The 23,940-nt window shown below is 48.4% G+C and overlaps 1 protein-coding gene and 1 long non-coding RNA gene across 3 annotated transcripts, besides 4 other annotated features; one reads left to right on the forward strand and one right to left on the reverse strand.

Moving 5' to 3' along the window:
- Window positions 7,583-7,632: an enhancer, noted in NCBI's record as "active region_3850". NCBI's record gives its function as "activates an Ori minimal core promoter by ATAC-STARR-seq in GM12878 lymphoblastoid cells {active_cell/tissue: GM12878}" and the evidence as "EXISTENCE:reporter gene assay evidence [ECO:0000049][PMID:35858748]".
- LOC644215 (uncharacterized) lies at window positions 7,732-15,042 on the reverse strand. Its single transcript, NR_157582.1, has 2 exons — window positions 15,008-15,042; window positions 7,732-8,480 (listed from the first exon to the last, which is right to left on the reverse strand). It is a non-coding gene; the product is annotated as an uncharacterized LOC644215 (long non-coding RNA).
- Window positions 11,877-12,171: a silencer, noted in NCBI's record as "tiled region #6385; HepG2 Repressive non-DNase unmatched - State 23:Low". NCBI's record gives its function as "represses a minimal TATA promoter and a strong SV40 promoter by Sharpr-MPRA in HepG2 cells {active_cell/tissue: HepG2}" and the evidence as "EXISTENCE:reporter gene assay evidence [ECO:0000049][PMID:27701403]".
- Window positions 14,815-14,864: a silencer, noted in NCBI's record as "silent region_2677". NCBI's record gives its function as "represses an Ori minimal core promoter by ATAC-STARR-seq in GM12878 lymphoblastoid cells {active_cell/tissue: GM12878}" and the evidence as "EXISTENCE:reporter gene assay evidence [ECO:0000049][PMID:35858748]".
- Window positions 15,043-15,175: 133 nt separating the features above from the next.
- On the forward strand, window positions 15,176-22,429 carry PGAM1 (phosphoglycerate mutase 1). Of its 2 annotated transcripts, none has more exons than NM_002629.4 (4): window positions 15,176-15,431; window positions 19,364-19,638; window positions 19,940-20,120; window positions 21,340-22,429. In NM_002629.4, exons 1-4 carry the CDS (start codon window positions 15,293-15,295, stop codon window positions 21,507-21,509), a joined length of 765 nt encoding a protein of 254 aa, NP_002620.1. In that variant the 5' UTR covers window positions 15,176-15,292; the 3' UTR covers window positions 21,510-22,429. The 2 variants fall into 2 exon arrangements, with proteins under 2 accessions (NP_002620.1, NP_001304008.1); NM_001317079.2 differs by lacking the exon at window positions 15,176-15,431 and adding an exon at window positions 16,803-16,913.
- Window positions 16,127-16,349: a silencer, noted in NCBI's record as "fragment chr10:99186899-99187121 (GRCh37/hg19 assembly coordinates)". NCBI's record gives its function as "represses an EF-1alpha promoter that drives an FKBP-Casp9 reporter gene in an ReSE screen in phorbol 12-myristate 13-acetate-treated (for megakaryocytic differentiation) K562 erythroleukemia cells {active_cell/tissue: K562(+PMA)}" and the evidence as "EXISTENCE:reporter gene assay evidence [ECO:0000049][PMID:32094911]".
- Window positions 22,430-23,940: the final 1,511 nt, after the last annotated feature.

Here is a 23,940-nt window from a genome sequence, read left to right on the forward strand (position 1 = left end):
ATGGCACCACTGCACTCCAGCCTGGGCAACAGAGCGAGACTCCGTCAAAAAAAGAAAAAAAAAAAAGAAGCCTACAGGGGATAATTAGCCAGGCATGGTGGCACACGCCTGTAATCCCAGCTACTTGGGAGGCTGAGGCATGAGAATTGCTTGAACCTGGGAGGTGGAGGTTGCAGTGAGCCAAGATCGCGCCACTGCACTCCAGCCTGGGCAACAGCAAGATACTCTGTCTCAAAAAAAAAAAAAAAAAAAAAAAGAAAGTAACCTATGGGGGAATGGTGAAAAGACAAGCACAAAACTCTTCGGTTTTCTTATTTGTACATTGAAGATGTTGTACCCAGAGCTCTCTAAAGCCCCTGGTAACTTTATTGTTCACTGATGCTCAATTAATAGAATTGCATTTTGCTTCTCTGCCTCCCTCATCTGACCATCTGACTGTGAAACCCCTGATTACAGGAACCATGTCTGGTCTACTCTGGCGCCATCAGAGCCTACCACAGTGTGTGGCTCAATACATCTGCTTGCCAAGTGAACACATGACTTATGCAGAGCTCAGCAAGGGGCACAAGAGAGGTTCAGATAACGCTCTTAGGGTGTCTAAGAGGGGCTGTCCAAGGTATATCTTTTATGTCTGTCAACCAGACTGGAATGCAGTAGTCATGCAAGCTGGAATGCGATCACGGTTCACTGCAGCCTTGACCTCCTGAGCTCAAGCAATCCTCCCACTTTAGCCTCCCAAGTAGCTGGAACTACAGGCATATGCCACCATGCCCAGCTAATTTTTAAATTTTTTGCAGAGACAAGGTCTCCTTATGTTGCCCAGACTGGTCTCAATATTCTGGGCTCAAGCAATCCTCCTGCCTCAGCCTCCCAAAGTGTTGGGATTATAGGCGTGAGCTATCTTGCCTGGACAATAATTTTTGAAGGTTGCAATCAAGGAAAATAACAGAAATGTTGGTCCATCATTTATCCAACCACTATACCATCCTGCCAAGTAGATTGGGCATTGTGGCAGAGAAGAGGAGAGGAAAATAGCATTTAATGGATGTATCCTTTGTGTCAGGGGCTCTCTGTGGTAATAAGAACTATCATTTATTAGCCTCTATAGACCTGGCACTTCACATGTGTGATCCTACTGAGTCCTCGCAACCACTGTATAGGGTAGGTGCTATTATTATGCACATTTTATTTTATTATTATTATTTTTTATTTATTTTTGGGACTGAGTCTTGCTCTGTCGTCCAGGCTGGAGTGCAGTGGCATGATCTTGGCTCATTGCAACCTCCACCTCCCTGGTTCAAGCAATTCCCCTGCCTCAGCCTCCTGAGTAGCTGGGATCACAGGCACATGCCGCCACATCTGGCTAATTTTTTTGTATTTTTAGTAGAGATCGGGTTTCACCACGTTGGCCAGACTGGTCTCAAACTCCTGACCTCAGGCAATCTGCCTGCCTCGGTCTCCCAAAGTGCTAGGATTACAGGGGTGAGCCACCGCGCCTGGCCTATTATTATTTTTTCTTTTTTTCTTTTTTTAATTAGAGACAGGGTCTCACTATGTTATCCAGTCTGGTGTCTAACTCCTGGCCTCACATGATCCTCCTGCCTTCGCCTCCCAAAGTTCTGGGATTACAGTCACGGGCCACTGCACCTGGCCTATTATCCACATTTTAAAATGGGGAAACCAAAGCTAGGGAAAGATTCCCAATAGCATTAAGTGGGGAGTTATAATTGTAATTTACTCCTCTCCCAATTCCTGTTCTTTATAACCATTTGGTTACCAAGCAATGAAAGCAGCCTAGCTCTCACATCTAGAGTTCACAGGCTGGTTGGGGTGGCAGTAAACAATCCCTGTGGCAATCAGTGCCATCATCCAGGTATGGTCAGGAGCTATGGGAGTCCAGAGCCTGGCAGACTATAGTCATGTCTGAGAGGCGAGTCAGGGCCAATTTTCAGGTGAGGTGACGTTGGAGCTGAGTGCTACAGCATGAGCTAGAGTTGACCAGGAAGCTGAGGGTGGCTGTTCAGGCCAAGCAAGGCCACAGCAGCTACAAAGGCACAGGGGCAAGTAAGAACACGATGTGTTTGCTCTAGATGCAGGCAAGACCTGAGTCACTGATGTGTCGGAAACTGCTGCATCAGTACAGGAAAGAAACCATAAGGGTTGAAACTAAGAATGTGGCAGCGGGGGCAAAGAGGGAAGGACAGATTGGAGAAGGTATCGGGGAGGTAGAATGACACGTGAAGGCTAGCGGTTATGAGGGGTGAGCACGGTTGCCGTGTACAGTTGTGAAGTATGTGGACTGCTTAGTTTCCCAGATGAGGGGTCTGAAATCCAGTCTTCATTGGTGCCTTGTAGAGAAGAAGAGTTGGCCTTTTATTTTATTTTATTTTATTTTATTTATTTATTTTTTTTTAGGCGGAGTCTAGCTCTGTAGCCCAGGCTGGAGTGCAGTAGCACAGTTTCAACTCACTGCAGCCTCTGCCTCCCAGGCTCAAGCAATTCTCCTGCCTCAGCCTCCCAAGTAGCTGGGATTATAGGTGCCCGCCCCCACGCCCAGCTAATTTTAGTATTTTAGTAGAGACAGGGTTTCACTATGTTGGGCAGGCTGGTCTCCAACTCCTGACCTCAGGTGATCTGCCCACCTCGGCCTCTTAAAGTGCTGGGATTACAGGCGTGAGCCACCACGCCTGGAGTTGGCCTTTTTCTCATTCCCCAGTGACACCATAGAGGCATATGATGCGTACAGGTATACGAGGCTCAGAGGCATGGAGGCAATGACACCACAGAGGAAGTGAGAATCAATCGCTCCCAGGAAGGCAAGATTCCAGAATACGAGTGTGTCTAAAGAAAAGACCATCTCTCAACATCTGAACCAAAAAGCTGCATTTACTACAGTACTTACTTAAGGGAGGTGGAGCTGGGCCTGTTAGGTGCAATCCCTGTGAGTGGAGCAGGGCACTGATCTTATATAAGGTGCTAGGAGGTTGAAGATCAATGGTGGGCACATATCAAGGGAGGTAGTGTTTAGGGATTGGTTGGCCAACCAGTGTGGCTGTTACCGATTGGCTGGTGTCAGATGTCTGGTCACTGAGGAAAATTGTTCAGCTGAAGGGAGAGGAATTGTCTTTAAGTGGCTTAAAACTGGTTATGGTGGTGACTTGTTGCCATGGCAGCAGAACAGTCTTTCCTGTGGGTATGAGCTTTTTTTTCCCCCTCAAGTGACTGTAGCTCAAAACATTCACTCTCAGAGGTTGTTTTCTTTTATAAAGGACCATGTTGGCTCTGGGGAGGGAAGTTCACAGGCTGGCTAGGGTCAGAATACTTGCCTGGCCCAGGTATTCAAAGGTCCAGTTTGTCACCTCTCCAAGATCCTGTGGCTGAGGTGTTTCCAACACAGGGAATCAGGGAAGTTAGTTGCATTGTAAGGAACATACCTAATCAGAAATGGGACCTAGGGCTGGGTGCAGTGGCTCACACCTGTGATCCCAGCACTTTGGGAGGTCAAAGCAGGAGGATCCCCTGAACCTAGGAGCTTCAGACCAGCCTGGCCAACATAGTGAGACCCCATTTCTTAAAAAAATAAAAAAGCCCGGGCGCGGTGGCTCACGCCTGTAATCCAAGCACTTTGGGAGGCCGAGGCTGGTGGATCATCTGAGGTCAGGAGTTCGAGAGCAGCCTGACCAACATGGTGAAACCCTGTCTCTACTAAAAATACAAAAAATTAGCTGAGCATGATGGCGGGTGCCTATAATCCCAACTACTCGGGAGGCTGAGAAAGGAGAATCCTTTCAACCCGGGAGGCAGAGGTTGCAGTGAGCCGAGATCGTGCCACTGCACTCTAGCCTGGGTGTTACAGAGCAAGACTGTCTAAAAAAAAAAAAATTAGCGGGGTGTGATGGCACATGTTTGTAGTCTCAGCTACTTGGGAGACTGAGATGGGAGGATTGAGCTCAAGAGTTTGAGCTCAGGCTGCGGTGAGTCATGATCACACCACTGCACTCCCACCCACAAGACACAGTGAGACCTTATCTCAAAAAAAAAAAAAAAAAATCAGAAATGAGACCTAGGATCCCGGACTCCCAGTCACTTCTTCCGTAAAGGAGAAGATGAGGTGCTGGTGGGCAGTGTGGTGCAGCTGGCCAGACCTTACAGCCAGCTTTTGCCCCTGCCTTCTCCACAGAAGCCTCTCCTTGGTCTCTCCTTTATGTCTCTCCTTGGGCTTAGTGGGAACCACATGTGTTTGCCCAACCACAACCCTAAGAACCATCCCTGGAGCTGCCATGGGAGGTTCTGAGCTCTGTCAGGACTAGGGTAAAAGCAGACGGATGCTTTTCTGCAGCTCAGTGGCCACTTAGATCCACCAGAGCTACCCGCCCACTTCACTCCCATTGAGCAAAGGCTTCTGGTAGGTAGGCTCGGGTGGGTTTGTTTTTTAAAATAATTGTTTAAAACTTTTGGTCAGGTGCGGTGGCTCATGCCTATAATCCCAGTACTTTGAGAGGCCGAGGTGGGTGGATCAACTAAGGTCAGGAGTTCAAGACCAGCCTGGCCAACATGGTGAAACCCTGTCTCTACTAAAAATACAAAAATTAGCTAGGCATGGTGGCACAAATTTGTAATCCCAGCTACTCGGGAGGCTGAGGCAGGAGAATCACTTGAACCCAGGAGGTGGAGGTTGCAGTGAGCTGAGATCGTGACACCGTACTCCAGCCTGGGTGACAGAGTGAGACTCTGTCTCAATAAAATAAAATAAAAAATAAAGTGTACAATTCAGTGGTTTTTGGTATCTTCACAGATGTGTGCAACATCACCACAGTCAACTTTAAAACATTTTTTGGCACCTCAAAAAGAAACCCCACACCCTGTATTTATCACCCCCAACCCTGCCAGCCCCTGGCAATCACTAATCTACTTTCTGTCTCTATAGATTTGCCTATTCTGGACATTTCATATAAGTAAAATCATAAACCATGCAGTCTTTTGTAACTGGCTTCTTTGGCTCAGCATAATGTTTTCTTTTCTTTTTCTTTTTTTTTCTTTTTTGAGATGGAGTCTCGCACTCTCGCCCAGGCTGGAGTGCAGTGGCGTGATCTCGGCTCACTGCAAGCTCCGCCTCCCAGGTTCACGCCATTCTCCTGCCTCAGCCTCCCAAGTAGCTGGGACTACAGGCGCCCGCCACCACACCTGGCTAATTTTTGTATTTTTAGTAGAGAAAGGGTTTCACCATGTTAGCCAGGATGGACTCGATCTCCTGACCTTGTGATCCGCTCACCTCGGCCTCCCAAAGTGCTGGGATTACAGGCGTGAGCTACCGCGCCTGGCCTATCTTTTTCTTTTCTTTTTTTTTTTTTTTTAGAAACAGGGTCTCACTGTGTTGCCCAGACTGGTCTTGAACTCCTGGACTCAAGTGATCCACCTGCCTCAGCCTCCCAAAGTGCTAAGATTACAGGCATAAGCCACCATACCCAGGGAAGAGAGCTGATTGGCTGAGGGCCCCTCCTAGCATTCAGATGCTGTGCTGCCCATGGGCTGCATCCAGTCATGACTTAGCATCCCTGTATCAAGGATGTGAAGGCAGGCTGGTCCTGGGAGCCTGAGGACCCCTCTGAAGAAGGGTAACTTCGGCTGGAGTAGCCCCCAACAGGCTTGCTGAATTTTCCCCAGAATTGCATTTGCAATCTAAGACGACGCTGCCACCCACCAAACCTTCCTTCCTCCTTCCCTTACGCAGCATCACACCTGTGCTCCCAGCCCCATTTCCTGTCACAGACACTTCTAATATATTTCCTGCACATCCTGTCTTGGCAACTGCTTCTAGGAGATCCTGGACTGAAGGGGTGGGTTGCCTCTTCACACCTGTGGGTGTTTCTCGTTAGGTGGACTTGGAAAAGAAAGAGACACAGAGACAAAGTATAGAGAAAGAAATAAGGGGGCCCAGGGGACCAGCGTTCAGCATATGGAGGATCCCGCCGGCCTCTGAGTTCCCTTAGTATTTATTGATCATTCTTGGGTGTTTCTCGGAGAGGGGGACGTGGCAGGGTCATAGGATAATTGTGGAGAGGTCAGCAGACAAACACCTGAACAAAGGTCTCTGCATCATAGACAAGGTAAAGAATTAAGTGCTGTGGTTTAGATATGCATACACATAAACATCTCAATGCCTTAAAGAGCAGTATTGCTGCCCGCATGTCCCATCTCCAGCCCTAAGGCGGTTTCCCCCTAAGTAGATGGAACATACAATCAGGTTTTATACCGAGACATTCCATTGCCCAGGGACGGGAAGGAGACAGATGCCTTCCTCTTGTCTCAACTGCAAAGAGGCGTTCCTTCTTCTTACACTAATCCTCCTCAGCACAGACCCTTTACGGGTGTCGGGCTGGGGGACGGTCAGGTCTTTCCCTTCCCACGAGGCCATATTTCAGACTATCACATGGGGAGAAACCTTGGACAATACCTGGCTTTCCTAGGCAGAGGTCCCTGCAGCCTTCCGCAGTGTTTGTGTCCCTGGGTACTTGATTCATTTTTTTTTTTTTTTTTTGAGAGGGAGTTTTGCTCTGTCGCCCAGGCTGGAGTGCAATGACGTGATCTCTGCTCACTGCAAGCTCCGCCTCCCAGGTTCACGCCATTCTCCTGCCTCAGCCTCCCGAGTAGCTGGGACTACAGGCGTGCGCCACCTCGCCCGGCTAATTTTTTGTATTTTTAGTAGAGACGGGGTTTCACCGTGTTTGCCAGGATGGTCTTGATCTCCTGACCTCGTGATCTGCCTGCCTTGGCCTCCCAAAGTGCTGGGATTACAGGCGTGAGCCACCGTGCCTGGCCTGTCCCTGGGTACTTGAGATTAGGGAGTGGTGGTGACTCTTAACGAGCATGCTGCCTTCAAGCATCTGTTTAACAAAGCACATCTTGCACAGCCCTTAATCCATTTAACCCTGAGTTGACACAGCACATGTTTCAGAGAGCACGGGGTTGGGGGTAAGGTTACAGATTAACAGCATCTCAAGGCAGAAGAATTTTTCTTAGTACAAAACAAAATGGAGTCTCCTATGTCTACTTCTTTCTACACAGACACAGCAACAATCTGATCTCTCTTTCTTTTCCCCACACTGGACTAACACACTGCTAATCTCCCAACAATTCACTAAACTTGATGCAAATCAATCCCAAATAACTAAGTTTCTGCCAGCTTTTTTTTTTAAATTTTTTTAGAGACAGGGTCTCACTTTATTGCCCAGGCTGGAGTACAGTGGCTATTCACACGTGTGATCATAGCATATTGCAGCCTCAAACTCCTGGCCTCAAGCCATCCTCCTGCTTTAGCCTCCTGAGTAGCTGGGACTACAGGCACGTGCCTCCTGTGCCCAGGACGTCAGCTTGTTTTGAATGTACAATTTTGAGGTCAGGCTCAGTGGCTCACACAGTGCTTTGGAAGGCCAAGGCAGGAGGATCGCTTGAGGTCAGGAGTTTAAAACTGGCTTGTGCAACCCAGGGAGACCTTGTCTCAAAAAAAAAAATGTGATCCAAGATTAATATAGACTGAGAAATCAGTTTTATGTGAATGAAAGCAGAAGGGTCAAAATGTGCTTATTGCCCTGGTTTGAGCATTTTACCATTACAGTTTTCACACAGGGTCTAGTGGCAGAGGGCTTGACGCACACCAGGTGGTTTTGAGAGTGCCATAAATTTAAAAAAGAAAGAGGCTTGGACTAAAGCCTGGCCTTAGAAGTCTGACAATGCGGGCGGATCAGGGAAACCTGGGTGCTGTCAGGGAAGTTCTTTTTTTTTTTTTTTTTTGAGACGGAGTCTCGCTCTGTCACCCAGGCTGGAGTGCAGTGGCGCGATCTCGGCTCACTGCAAGCTCCGCCTCCTGGGTTCACGCCATTCTCCTGCCTCAGCCTCCTGAGTAGCTGGGACTACAGGCGCCCGCCACTACGCCTGGCTAATTTTTGTATTTTTAGTAGAGATGGGGTTTCACTGTGTTAGCCAGGATGGTCTCGATCTCCTGACCTCATGATCTGCCCGCCTCGGCCTCCCAAAGTGCTGGGATTACAGGCGTGAGCCACAGCGCCTGGCCTGGGAAGTCCTTGAGGAAGCCGCAGGCTGCCGGAGAGCCCTCCTCTTTCTTTTCCGGCAGCACCAGCTCCAGCTCTGTTTACCTGCAGATGGCGACTGCATTTCGGGCGGGGGCAGTCAAAGTCCCTGAAGCACTGCTTTCTCTCCTAGAACCTGAGTCTTGAGGCATCATCTGGGCTCATGCCCTCTCTGAAACATAAATCCTGTACTCCACAGACACCAGCTGAGCCGGGAGATCTGAACATCAGGCAATGAGTTTGCAAGATGGTTTAACAACTATGAACATGTGGTGTCCTCACAGGAATCCTGTGGGCTGAACAGCAGCCGCCCCTCCTTCCACCCAGCACAAAACTTGGTTTGCCCCGCTCACTCTAAATCTGGGCCTTCAATGAATGTTCAGTGGAGTTCTTCTGTGGAAAAAAATAAATGGGAAAGGAAGGCTGGAGAGGCCTTTATTAGCCTAAGGGGCAGTGGAGGGTAAAAGGGCTGTGACTCTTGGTTGGCTTCTTCTTTTTCTTTATTGTTTTTTGTTTTGTTTTGTTTTGTTTTTTCTGGTAGCTTCTTTATCTCAGTGTTTTTTCTTTTTCTTTTCTTTTTTTTTTGAGACAGGGTCTCACTCTGTCACCCAAACTGGAGTGCAGCAGTGCAATCATAACTTAGCGGGGCTCAAGCAATCCTCCCACCTCAGCCTCCCTAGTGGCTGGGACTACAGGTGTGCACCACCACACCCGGCTAATTTTTGTATCTTATTGTAGACACAGGTTTTCGCCACGTTGCCCAGGCTGGTCTCAAACTCCTGGGCTCAACTGATCCCCTTGCCAGGGCTTCTCAAAGTGCTGGGATCATAGGCATGAGCCGCCATGCCTAACCCTTATCTGAGTTTTTGTAACAGTTTGACCAACAAGCTTGTTGTTGGAAAGCTGTAAGAGTCCTGGAAATTTCCCTGGGGCCTGAGGAATCAAACACTGCTCTACAAGGGGAGGCTTTCTGTCCTGAGAGTTCAGGCTTTAGGGGCTGGCTGGAGGCCTCAGGCAGAGATGAAGGCCCAGTTATGATTTCCTTCACTGGAGTCCATCATTAATGAGCGCCTTGGCTGGGGGGATGCCTGCTAAGAGGGCATGGAGTACAGATCCTCCACTGACACCCCCACACTCCTAGCAGCAAGCAGGACTTAGTGGCCCCACTTACTCCCTACAGGGTAGGAAAAGACGGCAGTGCCCTGGTGAGGAGCTGTATAGGGGGTCCTTCAGGATGCTTGCTGGGAGGGGTGGGGAGGGCACAGGACGTGCTGGGACCCCACTGGGATCTAAGCCCCTCCCAGCTGATTTATTCTTAGGATCTGTAATGCTCGCCTGCATGTGCCCCGAACTTCAGAAGGCCCAAGAATCAACCCTGACAAATGTCTTTTTGTCCTGTATTCAGTAGAGATAAGATTAAAAAAAAAAATTAGTAGAGGGCAAAAAACAGTGGTTTACTCTCTTTACTGGCATTCAAGAAACTTCTTCGGTTTGATAGGCTTTAAGCTTCTTCCCAGATTCAAAATGCTGTGATTGGCACTAAATGGATCCCTATCTCTGCCCAGGAATTCCGGCTTCTGGCTGCAAAGCCTTTGGGGTCCTTGCAATGGGGCAGGTATAACTTCCCATATTCTCTTCCTCAATCTTCCTTTCCTGCCCCTCCCTCTCTATTTTTTTTTTTTTTTTTTTTTTTTTGAGACAAGGTCTCACACCGTAACCCAGGCTGAAGAGCAGTGGTGCAATCATGGCTCACTGCAGACTCAACCTCCTAGGCTCAAGCAATCCTCCCACCTCAGCCTCCCGAGTAGCTGGGACCACAGGCACATGCCACTACGTCCAGCTCATTTTTGTATTTGTTGCAGTGATGGGGATTTGCCATGTTGCCCAGGCTGGCCTTGAACTTCTGGGCTCAAGCCATCCTCTCACTTCAGCCTCTCAAAGTGCTGGGATTGTAGGCTTGAGCCACTGTGCCCTGCCTGCCTTTCTGTTCTGATGCAGGAAGCCCTGACTTTGGAGTCCTTCCCTGTGGATCACCTCTGATAAATCTAGTCTCTTGTTCATCTGCTCTTTTATTTATTAAAAAAACTTTTTAAAAAGACTAGTAAAGTGCAGTAGTGAGAAGGTGGGAAAGGGTAGAACAAGGAGCTCGATCTGTAACTGACTGTGAACAATCAGTTGAGATAACTCACTACCTTTGGACCAGCCTCATCTGCCCTTTTGAATGGTTCCTCTCAGTTTTTTCATCTGTAAAATGTGAATCGTGCGTGGCAGGAGGTGAGTGGGGATTTGTAGTGGAGAATTCTCAAGGTCTCTCCCAGCTCTGACACTTGGGGACTCAGGGAGTCTACCAAGGGCAAAGGCATCATCCTAAGTGCAGGTTCGTGTGTGGGGGTGTATGAAACAGTTAAGATGAAGTGCCCATCCTCAAGGAGTTTGCAGTTGAGTAGCTCAGTGGCATGCATAATAAATCTCAGGTAGGCCCGGTGTGGTGGCTCATGCCTGAAATCCCAGCACTTTGGGAGGCTGAGGTGGGTGGATCACGAGGTCAGGAGTTTGAGACCGGCCTGACCAACATGGTGAAACCCTGTTGCTACTAAAAATACAGAAATTAGCTGGGCGTGGTGTGGGCGCCTGTAATCCCAGCTACTTGGGAGGCAGAGGCAGAATGGTTTGAACCCAGGAGGCAGAGGTTGCAGTGAGCCGAGATCACGCCACTGCACTCCAGCCTGGGTGACAGGGCGAGACTCCATCTCAAAATAAATAAATAAATAAATAAATAAATAAATAAATAAATAAATAAATAAATCTCAGGTAGATATTCAGGAAGTGAGGCATTTCAGAGTTCATCAGAATTCCAAGGAGGTATAAGATTCCTTCTGGAGGCAGAGGGGTTTGGTGAAGGGAATAAAGTAGGGTTCCCAAGTTCCTTTCCAAGGCCAGTGGTGCAGATGCTTTTGGCTTCCCAACCAAAGAATCCCAGTTATTGCCCAACTCTGACCCCGGCAGGCAAGTCTTCCCCTACCAGGCAACCACACTCACACTTTCTGAATTGGTGCCTCATTAATTCTTTTTTTGCCTTCTTAATCACACTGCTAATAATACTTATTTTTATTTTTATTTTTATTTTGAGACTGAGTCTCACTGTTGTCGGCCCCGGCTGGAGGGCAATGGCGCAATCTTGGCTCACTGCAACCTCTGCCTCCCAGGTTCCAGCGATTCTCCTGCCTCAGCCTCGCAAGTAGCTGGGATTACAGGCGCCTGCCACCACGCCTGGCTAATTTTTGTATTTTTAGTAGAGACGGAGTTTCACCATGTTGGCCAGACTGGTCTCGAAATCCTGACCTCAGGTGATCCACTCACCTTGGCCTCCAAAAGTGCTGGGATTACAGGCATGAGCCACCATGCCCGGACAATAATATTTATTAATATAATATCACTAGCTGATAATACCACTGGCCAGGCGTAGTGGCTCACGCCTGTAATCCCTGTACTTTGGAAGGCCGAGGCGGGAGGATCACCTGAGCTCAGGAGTTCGAGACCAGCCTGGCCAACATGGTGAAACCCTGTCTCTACCAAAAATAGAAAGATTAGCCAGGCGTGGTGACAGGCACCTATAATCCCAGCTCCTCAGGAGGCTGTGGCAGGAGAATCGCTTGAACCCAGGAGGTGGAGGTTTCAGTGAGCTGAGATCATGCCATTGCCTTCCAGCCTGGGTGACAGAACAAGACTCCATCTCAAAAAAAAAAATATATATATATATATATATTATTATTAATAATATATTTAAAATTCATGACTAGTTGTTTCCATTCATCATCTCATCTATTTCTCATCTAAAGGCTTTGCTTAGGTGGGTATGAATATGATTACAGACAGGAAAACAGGATGAGAAGTTGAGTGACTCATGGCAGGCCCCAGAGCTAACCAGAAACAGGAATATTTGAACTTGAGTTTCCGAGAGCATCTTCTTCCTACTCACATTTCTTACTCATTGCAGAAATGAGAGAACCCAGTGAGGAGACGAGGTGACAAGGGCACAGAATCTTGAATGTCTTGAGAGCAGGAGGAGGAGAAGAAAACACGGTAGGAGTCAGGCTAGGAGTGTGGATTTGGGCCAAGGCAGGACAAAAAGCCAAGGTTAAGGCTGAAAAAGCTCTCCCTGGGAGTGCCTGAACAACAGATTAGGATGACTGGACAGCAGGAAAGATCAGAGGGAGAACCACCTATGAGACAGGCTCCTCAGCGAAACTCCCATGGGGTGACGCCTCTGGGGCTTGAACCACGAGCCCTTTGAGGGCATTCTAGCTTGGCAGCTCTGGGGTCCTGTGAGTTCTGGTGCAGCTTCTAGAGCTGCACCTCATCCCAGTCACCTCTCCAGTTACTAAATTCCATCTTCTCCCAGCTACAAAGGAGGGAAGCAGTGGAGTGCTGTGGTGACAGTGCAGACTAGGCCACTGGGTGGCCTGGGTTTGAGTCCCGGTTTCTCCTCCACTTCCTAGCCGTGACTTTGCACAACAATTCCTCTGGTCCCTGGTTTCCTCATCTGTGGAACGGAGCTATAATAGTTCTTACATAAGGATGGGCATGGTGGCTCACGCCTATAATCCCAGCACTTTGGGAGGCTGAGGCGGGCAGATCACCTAAGGTCCGGAGTTTGAGACCAGCCTGACCAACATGGAGAAACCCCGTGTCTACTAAAAATACAAAATTAGCCAGGCGTGGTGGCACATGCTTGTAATCCCAGCTCCTCGGGAGGCTGGGGCAGAAGAATTGCTTGAACCCAGGAGGCGGAGGTTGTGGTGAGCCAAGATTGCGCCATTGCTCTCCAGCCTGGGCAACCAGAGCGAAACTCCATCTCAAAAAAAAAAAAAAATTCTTACATAATATGAATTGCTGGGGTTGAAATTATACATTAAAAGGCTAGTTGCACTAAACCCTCACAAATAGGAGCTATTATGATTATGCAGCTGCAAACCTCTCGTGTTTTGGTTCACGTTGTTCCCAAAGTGCCTTTTCTCTGCCTCTCAAATCCTTCCCACACTTCAAAGTCAACAAATGCCAAAAATACAACAAAAATGTGGAGGCCATAGACAATAGTGGAGAAAGAGTATGGTCTTGGGAGCCAGCAGCCTGGGCTTGAATCCTGATTTCTGTCACCTTGGGCAAATTTCCTCATCTGCAAGTGGGAAAAGATAGAACCTGCCTCAGAGGGTCATTGTGGAGATACGAGGATTGAGTGAGTTAATATTTGCAAAGCACTCAGAACACTAACTGGCATGCAGTAGGTGCTTTACTGGTACATGATCGCCGCTCACTGCAACCTCTGCCTCTCAGGTTTAAGTGATTCTCCTGCCTCAGCCTCCTGATTACAGGCACACTCCACCATGCCCGGCTAATTTTTTTGTACTTTTAGTAGAGTGGAGGTTTCACCATGTTGGTCAGGCTGGTCTCGAACTCCTGACCTCAAATGATCCGCCAGTCTTGGCCTCCCAAAGTGCTGGGATTACAGGCGTGAGCCACCCAATGTTATTGTTGGCTACTAATACATGGGTCTTATTTGCCCTCTGCTTGCTTGAAGGACAGGAAACACATTCAACCCATCCTTGAGTCTAGTCCACTGCCTGGCTCATGTTTGGTGCTCATTAAAGTGTCTAGATTGAAATCAACCAGGAGATTGGCCTGCCACAGTGGCTCACACCTGTCATTCCAGTGTTGCTGTGAAGTTGCTGCAGGAGGACTGCTTGAGGCCAGGAGTTTGAGACCAGCCCGGTCAACATAGTGAGATCTGTCTCTACAGAAAAAAAAAAAAAAAAAAAAAAAATTAGCCAGGCCTGGTGGCATGCCTGTAGTCCCAGCTATTCAAGAGGCTGAAGCAGGAGGATCACTTGAGTCTAGGATTTCAAGGCTGCTGCAGTGAGCTATGATCATGCTACTGCACTCTGCTTTGGGAACAGGGGGAAACTCTGTTTAAAAAAGAAAAAGAAGGCCGGGCACTGTGGCTCACGCTGGTAATCCCAGCACTTTGGGAGGCCGAGGCCGGTGTATCACTTGTGGTCAGGAGTTCGATACCAGCCTGGACAACATGGTGAAACCCCGTCTCTACTAAAAGTACAAAAATCAGCCGGGCGTGGTGGCGGCTGCCTGTAATCCCAGCTACTCGGGAGGCTGAGGCAGCAGAATTGCTTAAACCCGGGAGGCGGAGGTTGCGGTGAGCCGAGATCGCACCACTGCACTCCAGTCTGGGAGATAGCTCCGTCTCAAAAAAAAAAAAAAAATTGTAATAATAAATTGCTGATTGGGGCTCGGAGAAGAACAGGCAGTGACTAGAACTCGCCCCTTCCTGAAATATTTGAAGGGTCCTAGCGTTTGCTTTCTTGTTGGAGGCCCAGAAAGCACTGACTTAACGTGTGTGAAAGATTGTAGACAGAGACGGGATAAAGAGCCCCGCGCTGGAAAAAGAGCAGGCTTTGGAACCAGCAGGGTCACGGGCAGTTTCCTTACGTGTAAACTAGGAGTAAAAAGATCAGTGTCCTGCTGAAATGAGAGAGTAATAGTAAAAACTACTATTTACCGAGCACTTCCAGGTACCCGGTATTTATGATCACATTTTACAGATGAGGCTGAGAGGTTTCCCGACCTGCCCAAAGACACAAAGCAAGTAGAATGTACGAGTGAAGACTCGAACACAGGTCCGTGAATCAATCTCTGCGTGGGGATGGGAGCGGTTCCAGTGATAAGGGCCACTTAATCTGGCCGAGCTGCTCCGGAGCAGCGCGGCAGCCAGCGAATTGGGGCCGCCCCCACAACCCGCCGCCCGCCGCCCGCCGCCCTCCGCCCTCCGCCCTCCGCCCTCCGCCCTCCGCCCTCCGCCCTCCGCCCTCCGCCCTCCGCCCTCCGCCCTCCGCCCTCCGCGTGCTTACGTGCGCTCCGTGACTGCGGCGACCGACGCGGGACTGGAGAGGGAGGACGCATGCGCTCTGCCGTGCCGAAGCGCGCCCCCTCCTGTCGGGGGCCGCAGCGCCAGGATGCAGCGCATGCGCACACCTGGAGGGCGGAGAGCGGTCCAGAGCGAGTGGAAAGATTTGGGCGAGAACTTGCGCGGGAGCCGGACTGAGCGGTGCGAGCGCGCAGGCGCGGCCGACGGGGCGGGCTGCTACTCCGGAATCTGCTAATCCCAGTCGGTGCCGCATCCCCAGCCCGCCGCCATGGCCGCCTACAAACTGGTGCTGATCCGGCACGGCGAGAGCGCATGGAACCTGGAGAACCGCTTCAGCGGCTGGTACGACGCCGACCTGAGCCCGGCGGGCCACGAGGAGGCGAAGCGCGGCGGGCAGGCGCTACGAGGTGCGGAGGGGCCGGGTGTGGGCTGCGAAGGGCCGGGTGTCCGGCCTCGGAGGCCGCCTGGCTGGCGTCTGCGCCCTCTCGGAGAGGGCCGGCACCTTGGGCAGCATCTCTCTTAACAGTTTAGTGTGTAGTTGAGAAGATGAGTGCAGAGGGTAGAGTCTACTTGTTCAAGGTCACGCCGTGGAGCATGAGGGGCTGTGCCAGGGGGAGGACCCAGGGCGGTCGCCCCGCAACCCTTTGCGCTCCCCACGACACCACTTCGCAGTTTTCCCTTTCTAGTCTGAACATTTAATATGTCGGGGACAGGCCGGGCGTGGTGGCTCACGCCTGTAATCCCAGCATGTGGGGAGGCCGAGGCGGGTGGATCACTTGCGGTCAGGATGTTCGAGACCAGCCTTATCAACGTGGTGAAACCCCGTCTCTATTGAAAATACAAAATTAGCCGGCCGTGGTGGCGCACGCCTGTAATCCCAGCTACTCGGGAGGCTGAAGCAGGAGAATCGCTTGAACCCGGGAGGCGGAGGTTGCAATGAGCCGAGATCGCGCCATTGCACTCCAGCCTGGGCAACAAGAGCGAAACTCTGTCCAGAAAAAAAAAATAATAATAATAAGTCGTGGACAGTTTGCCCTAATGGAACCATCTATGGCGGCCAGGTCTTTTTCAGGTTCCCTTAGCGCCAGAAGCGGTTGGTACAGTCTGGTGCTCCTGGAGGACGCCCTGTGCCTTAAAGCAGCTGTAACCAAGGCCTCTCAAGAGGCGGCTACGGATCCTAGCGGATCGACACGCCACACAGCCTCGTCCCCAGCAGTAGGTGGAGGCCCTGGGGGTGCCTAACAAGCCTCAGAACACCAAGAAATCCGCGTGGTTGTGCAGGTCTTTGCTGTTCAGTAGCATTCCACAAATAGTGTGTCCAAAACGCATCTGTAGATGTAACTTGAGTGAATGAATGAATGATTCGAGTTGCTCCTTCTACCCAATAAAGTAGATAAGATTTTATCTTTCTCATCTTTCCAAGGCCCCTTTATAGTTGGGAAAAGTGAGTATTTGGAAAGATGACTTGTCCAAGGTCATATCTGATTCCTAGTCCAGTGTCCTCGCCCTAGTCCTGGGTGAAGTAACAGGTAGGTGTGAGGAACTGGTAGGCTTTTGGCTAAGGACGCTGGGCAAAGGTGGAAGTGGCTGTGAGATAATGCTTGCCTATCCAGGCTTGCTCCCGCCCCAGTCTGCTCTTTGTGGTGTTGGAATGCTAATAAGGAAGCATTCCCTGCTGCCGGCACGGCCAAGAATCCCTGGACTGAAGAGGTGCTTCCGCTGATGATAGGGGCAGATCCTCCTTTGCTCCCTTCTAACCTCTGGACAAAGAAGCAGCCATTCACAAGGGTCATTGATGAGGCACAGGTATTTGGCCTCAGATTGCTCTCCTAGCTTCTTGCCTTCACTGTACCATCCTTCTCAAATGAAGCAAAACGCAGGACAGTCTGGTAAATGTAAACCTCTGCGGGGTGGGGTGGGCAGGGGAGTGATTGTTTGAGATGGCCTGGTGTGACCTCATCTTTTAGGAGAGGCTGGGAAATGGAAAGTGCTGGTAAAGGAGGCCATTTTCTTTAGCTCTGTGGCAGGAAGAACTGTATCAGTCCGTGGTAGTTTCCCAATGACTAGTCCACGTTAAACCATGTTGTCTCTGTTTGAGACTAATCAAATAGTTAAACTTGTAATCTCTGTAAAATAACAGATCCTATTTCAGTTTTAAAATAAATGTTAGCATTAAATTAAAAATTTAACAGTATAGAAAATTAAAAGATTTAACGGTTTAAAAGGTCGAATACATATATATAAATAATTCCTCAGTGCTTTAAGTGATAGGGTTTGTACAGCCTTGAATCTGATTTCTGGAGAAAGCTAGTGAGAACTGAGTTTCCCCATGCATCCTTACTGCTAAGAGAGGGATGGCCTGGGGGAGGATGGAGTCCACACCACACTGTCCACTCCTACCCCTGTGAGTGCCCCTGGCTATGTTTTAGTTTGATGGGCAAGTTAAAGGAAGAGGCTTTATTCTCTGATTCTTCAGGTTCTCTGTTAAGAATCCTAAGCGGAACTTCTTTTCTCCTTGAGGACCTATTTATGTGTCCAAAGTGAGCCGCCTCATTGCAAGTGGAAATAATTGCAGTGAAACAGCCTGAAGCTCCCCAGCTGAGGCTTGCACTGTGGGTATTCACTTCCGGGTGTCTCAGCCTTTTGTTGGGGAGCCATTCCTTTCCTTACAGTTAGGAAGGCGACAGTGAGTGAGTCTACTAGGACTTGTCTGGCGGCTCAGTGATGAGACCTGTTTTTTCTCTTGTGGGTGGTGTGAGTTTTCCTGGTGATTAGTTCTCCCCAGCCCTCACTCAGTAAGAATGAGTTCTTCTTGGCCTCATTCTCATTTGAATGACTGGCAGAAAAATTCACTTCATGTTTTATTAATTACTGTTGCTAACCCCAATATGAAGCAATATCCAGGCAAGTTTGTGCTGAATTTCTAAGAGGGCCTTCTAGCCTAATGGAGAAAAACAGGAATGTTTTCTTGGTCATCAAGGAAAGGGCTATCTCCCCATTATGGTGGGAGGGTGAATAATCTTTAATGAAACAAAATCAATAAGACTGATTCCTTTTTTTTTTTTTTTTTTTTTTTTTGCGTGCGACAGAGTCTCGCTCTATCGCCCAGACTGGAGTGCAGTGGCGCGATCTCAGCTCACTGCAAGCTCCGCCTCCCGGATTCACGCCATTCTCCTGCCTCAGCCTCCTGAGTAGCTGGGACTACAGGCGCCCGCCACCATGCCCGGCTAATTTTTTTGTATTTTTAGTAGAGACGGGGTTTCACCATGTTAGCCACGATGGTCTCAATCTCCTGACCTTGTGATCTGCCCACCTCGGCCTCCCAAAGTGCTGGGATTACAGACGTGAGCCACCGTGCCGGGCCAAGACTGATTTCTTGGAACCTATTCATTGGGCCAACATAACTCTTGCCACAATAACTACTGTGTATGGAAGACAGATTCATTGATGAATCAGATAGTGCACAGCACTGGGTCTTTCTTTAGTGAGTGGCTTCTCCTAAACTTGGTTTAACATTTAAGTAGGTATACTCTGAGGGTACTTGGTATTAGGCTGGAACTTTGTGACTACAGTAGAGAGAAACCATGGATTAGAGTTTGTGATGTGATTTCCATACTCCACAGTGAATACAATTTCATACAATGGACAAATACAATTGCAAACAAATACAAAAACAAAATAAAATTTCATACAACAAACTGAAGTTTTATCAGTACAGGAAGAGCTCTTCCTGTGTCCTGATTGGGATTTAAATCCTAATTTTCTTACTTCAGAGTTCTAGTAAAATATCTTTTATAAGTGACAATTCCCAGTCTGGGCAACATGGTGAAACCTTGTCTCTACTAAAAATACAAAAATTAGCTGGATATGGTGGCGTGCGCCTGTATCCTCAGCTTACTTGGGAGGCTGAGGAGAAGAATTGCTTGAACCCGGGAGGCGGAGGTTGCAGTGAGCCGAGACCACGCCACTGCACTCCAGCCTGGGTGACAGTGAGACTCCGTCTCAAAAAAAAAAAAAAAAAAAGAAAAGAAAAAGTGACAGTTCTAACTGAAATGCAAACATCAGGATCCTTGGGAATTAGGAAAATGGGGATAGCTAGAGATGGTGGTGAAAAGTTGGATTCTGGAGTCCCACAGCATGGGTTTTAATCTAGGTTTTAACCCACATAATAGCTGTGACCTTGGATAGAGTGCAAGGATAAACAAAACAGTTGGCCAAATATTTTCTTTTTTGGCCAAATATTGTCATTTGGACTACTTGTACAGGAGATTGATACTGAAGAACATTTTGGCTCAGAGTAGACCTGGTTAGCTTATCACTTTGAACTTCTGATTTCCAGATGCTGGCTATGAGTTTGACATCTGCTTCACCTCAGTGCAGAAGAGAGCGATCCGGACCCTCTGGACAGTGCTAGATGCCATTGATCAGATGTGGCTGCCAGTGGTGAGGACTTGGCGCCTCAATGAGCGGCACTATGGGGGTCTAACCGGTCTCAATAAAGCAGAAACTGCTGCAAAGCATGGTGAGGCCCAGGTGAAGATCTGGAGGCGCTCCTATGATGTCCCACCACCTCCGATGGAGCCCGACCATCCTTTCTACAGCAACATCAGTAAGGTATGGACAAACAGAGGTTTGGTCACTCCGCCCAGGATCAGGGGCTTTTAGTAGTGTCTGCCTAATCTCACTGAACTTACAATTCATGATAAAATAGTTAATTGTAATCCTTCCTTCTCCAGTGAATGACCTTCACTTACTAGAAGATATGGTTGATAGTTTACTATCTCCTTTTTTGTGTTTCCATAGTCAGATTTTATAAAACCCTGTGAATGTGAATGGGCCAAAATCGATACATCATGAAGTCTTTTAACAGATGTAACTCTTAATAAGTGGTGAACTTGGATTCTTTATTGCTTAGGATCGCAGGTATGCAGACCTCACAGAAGATCAGCTACCCTCCTGTGAGAGTCTGAAGGATACTATTGCCAGAGCTCTGCCCTTCTGGAATGAAGAAATAGTTCCCCAGATCAAGGAGGGGAAACGTGTACTGATTGCAGCCCATGGCAACAGCCTCCGGGGCATTGTCAAGCATCTGGAGGGTATGTATGTTTTTTCAGAGGCGCCCTCAAGGAAGGATAAAGCAGAACTGCCACAAATCAGGGACTTGGTAAAAAGGAGTCTAGGGAAGGGCTGGACATGTTAACAGCTTTAGAGATGGTCTAGATTGACTTCTAGTGAAAAAACACCCTCAACCCTTGTTTCTCAAAATGTGATCTGCAGAATAGTGACAGCTGGACCCCCTGGGAGCTTGTTATACATGCAGAACCTCAGGTCTCACTCCAGACCTGTTTCAGAATCGGCATCTATTCCCCAGGTGATTTGGATACACATTAAAGATTGAGAAGCTCACCTCTAGATTGGTATTGTCAAATGAAACTGCTAGTGAAAATCCTCCTTAGCTTGCCAAGCACAGTGGCTCATGCCTGTAATTGCAACATTTTGGGAGGCCAAGGCAGGAGGACCACTTGAGGCCAGGAGTTTGAGACAGCCTGGGCAACATAGTAAGACTGCATCTCTACAAAATTTTAAAAGGCCAAGCACAGTGGTTCATGCCTGTACTATCAGCACCTTGGGAGGCCAGGAGTTCAAAACCAGCCTGAGCAACAAAGCAAGACCTTGTCTGTACAAAAGAAAAATGAAAAATTAGCTTGATGTGGTGATGCTCATCTGTAGTCCCAGCTACTCAGGAGGCTGAGGCGGGAGATCGCTTGAGCCCAGCAGTTTGAGGTTATAGTGAGGTATGATTGTGCCACTACATTCTAGCCTGGGTGAGAGAGTAAGACCTTGTCTCTTAAAAAAAAAAAAAAGGAAAACAAATATATATAAAAGAAAAAATTCTCCTTAGTCACAACCAGGCACAACTTTACACATGAATCTCAATTTGCATCTTCATCCCCGAGGGCCTAGAGGCCCACGTGTGCTGATTTTTGGTTGGATGGGCTGTACAGGGTATTTGAGATGTGTAGTCTTGCTTCACTGTGGGCTTCTAGATCCCACTTTGGTAGAGATATCTGGCCATATACCTTGCTGTAGTTTGTTGGTGGTCTATCTTGTATACCTTTTCTTGCTTTTCAGTTTAATGGCTGAGAAATAAGTATGGTGGGGGCCATTCCCTGGGTTCAGAACTACTATAAAGATCAGAAAGGGTGTCTTATTTTAATTTCTGTCAAAGTCCTTTATCACCTGGAGGACAAAGTAAACCTGGAGGGGTGATGTGGATTTATGTCTTGTGTGGCTGATGATGGTGGATGTTTTCAGGTCTCTCTGAAGAGGCTATCATGGAGCTGAACCTGCCGACTGGTATTCCCATTGTCTATGAATTGGACAAGAACTTGAAGCCTATCAAGCCCATGCAGTTTCTGGGGGATGAAGAGACGGTGCGCAAAGCCATGGAAGCTGTGGCTGCCCAGGGCAAGGCCAAGAAGTGAAGGCCGGCGGGGAGGATACTGTCCCCAGGAGCACCCTCCCTGCCCGTCTTGTCCCTCTGCCCCTCCCACCTGCACATGTCACACTGACCACATCTGTAGACATCTTGAGTTGTAGCTGCAGACGGGGACCAGTGGCTCCCATTTTCATTTTAGCCATTTTGTCGCCTGCACCCACTCCCTTCATACAATCTAGTCAGAATAGCAGTTCTAGAGCACAGGTTCTCAGTCTAAGCTATGGAAAAGCTCCCCTTATCCAACAGAGTTTAAAAGTAGTGACTTGGGTTTTTGCGAGTGCTTTGTTTACTAAGGACTTTGGGGAGGAACCATGCTAAGCCATGACCAGTGAGGAGAAGCAACAGAGCCTGTCTGTCCCCATGAGCGGAGTCTGTCCTCTGCTCTTCTGCAGTCAGGTCACTGCCTACTGCCTGGGGGCTCTAGTCATTCCAGTGGAAGACGAATGTAACCTGCGTGGTGATGTGACAACTGTTTCCTCCCTGACCCCAGAGGATCTGGCTCTAGGTTGGGATCAATCCTGAATTTCGTTATGTGTTAATTTACTTTTATTAAAAAAGTATAGTATATATAATACAAAACAATAACCCTTCTGGGGTTTCTTGTGGCGGTTGAAATAGTCCCACATGTGGTCATCAGAAAATAAGCCATTCCTCATACCAATATAGGATCAGCTCCTTGACCTCTGAGGGGCAGGAGTGCTTCCTGGTGTGTGTATTAGAATCCCTTCCTGCCTTGTTTCATGGCAGTGAAATGCCTCTTGGTCCTGTCCAAGTGTATCTTTCACTGATTTCTGAATCATGTTCTAGTTGCTTGACCCTGCCACATGGGTCCAGTGTTCATCTGAGCATAACTGTACTAAATCCTTTTTCCATATCAGTATAATAAAGGAGTGATGTGCAATAGCTTCTTGTGTGATGTGGAAGACCTTATCTGAGGAAACTTTAGCATTTAACTTGAAATGTCTCTCACTGCCCTAGTCCTTGTGTGGCAGTTTGTTTTAGGACATCCAGTCACAACTTTACACGGTTGGTCAAAAAATGACGCATCTCCTTGGGGTTTTCACGTCAGCCTGGTGAGCTGAGGTGGTGGTGGGAGGCCCTCCTGGCCAAGCCCTCCATTCACGTTGCCCCCTGCAGCTCTTGCTTGGTGCTCCCCTGATTGGAAAGTCACATTCTGAACTCCATTATATCCTCTTTAGAGTAAGTAAAGTCTGCTTTTTGTTTTTTCTTTTTGAGACAGCCTCGCTCCGTCGCCCATGCTTGAGTGCAGTGGCATGATCTCAGCTCACTGCAGCCTCCCCCTCCTGTGTTCAAGCAAGCCTCCCACCTCAGCCTCCTGAGTAGCTGGGACCACAGGCATGTGCCACCATGCTTGCTTAATTTCTGTATTTTTAGTAGAGACGGGGTTTTGCCAAGTTGCCCAGGCTGGTCTCGAGCCAGTTTTGGCCTCCCAAAGTGCTGGGATTACAGGTGTGAGCCACCGTGCAGGCCTCAGAATTTTTTTTTTTAACTGTTTATTGTTACCAACTTGTAAGATGATCTCAAAAAGTGACTTAGTGCAGTGGAAAGGAGTATAATTACATTATAAACACAATTGCCTTCTCCTTTGAAAAGTTCACTGGACTACAAGAAATCCCATAAAGCTGGAGAAAGAACATTCCCTTTCCCTTCTGGTAGGAACAAGTAACACCCTCCATCTGTTGAGCTCCTAATGAAGCTCCTCTGTGCCACCCACTGGATGAGGGATATTACATATGTTAGCTCTCATCTTAACCCATGAAAGGGCTGGTAACTCCTGTTTACAGAAGAGGAAACAGTCCCAAAGAAACATGTAAAAAGCACCAAATATCACACCACTTGGTACTGGGGCTGGGATGGATATTGCTAGTGCAAACAAATGAAGGTTCTTACCCAAAGATTTAAATACTTTCAAGCATCTTGCTTTTCAAGTTTAGATTTTCATTTGACCTACACAATAACTTTGAGTAATTTCAGTCTCCAAGAGCCTGGTGGGATGTTATTTTCCTAACCTGTGCAGAATTCTAGATCAGAAGTTGGTAATTTTGGCCAGCACAGTGGTACACACCTGTAATCCCAGCACTTTGGGAAGCTGAGGAAGGAGGATCACTTGAGGCCAGGAATTCGAGACTGGCCTAGGCAACATAGCAAGACCTGGTCTCTACAAGAAAAATTAGCCAGGCATGGTGGTACATGCCTGTAGTCCCAGCTACTCAGGGGATTGATGGGGAATCACCTGAGCCCAGGAGTTTGAGGCTACAGTGAGCTATGACTGCACCACTGCACTCCATCCTGGGTGACATTTTGAGGCCCTGTCTCTTCAAAAATTGCATGTACAAAACAAAAAACCCAAGGCCAGGCATGGTGGCTGATGCCTATAAGCCCAGCACTTTGGGAGG

Source organism: Homo sapiens, chromosome 10 (genome assembly GCF_000001405.40).
Source record: "Homo sapiens chromosome 10, GRCh38.p14 Primary Assembly".
Taxonomy (NCBI): Eukaryota; Metazoa; Chordata; class Mammalia; order Primates; family Hominidae; genus Homo; species Homo sapiens.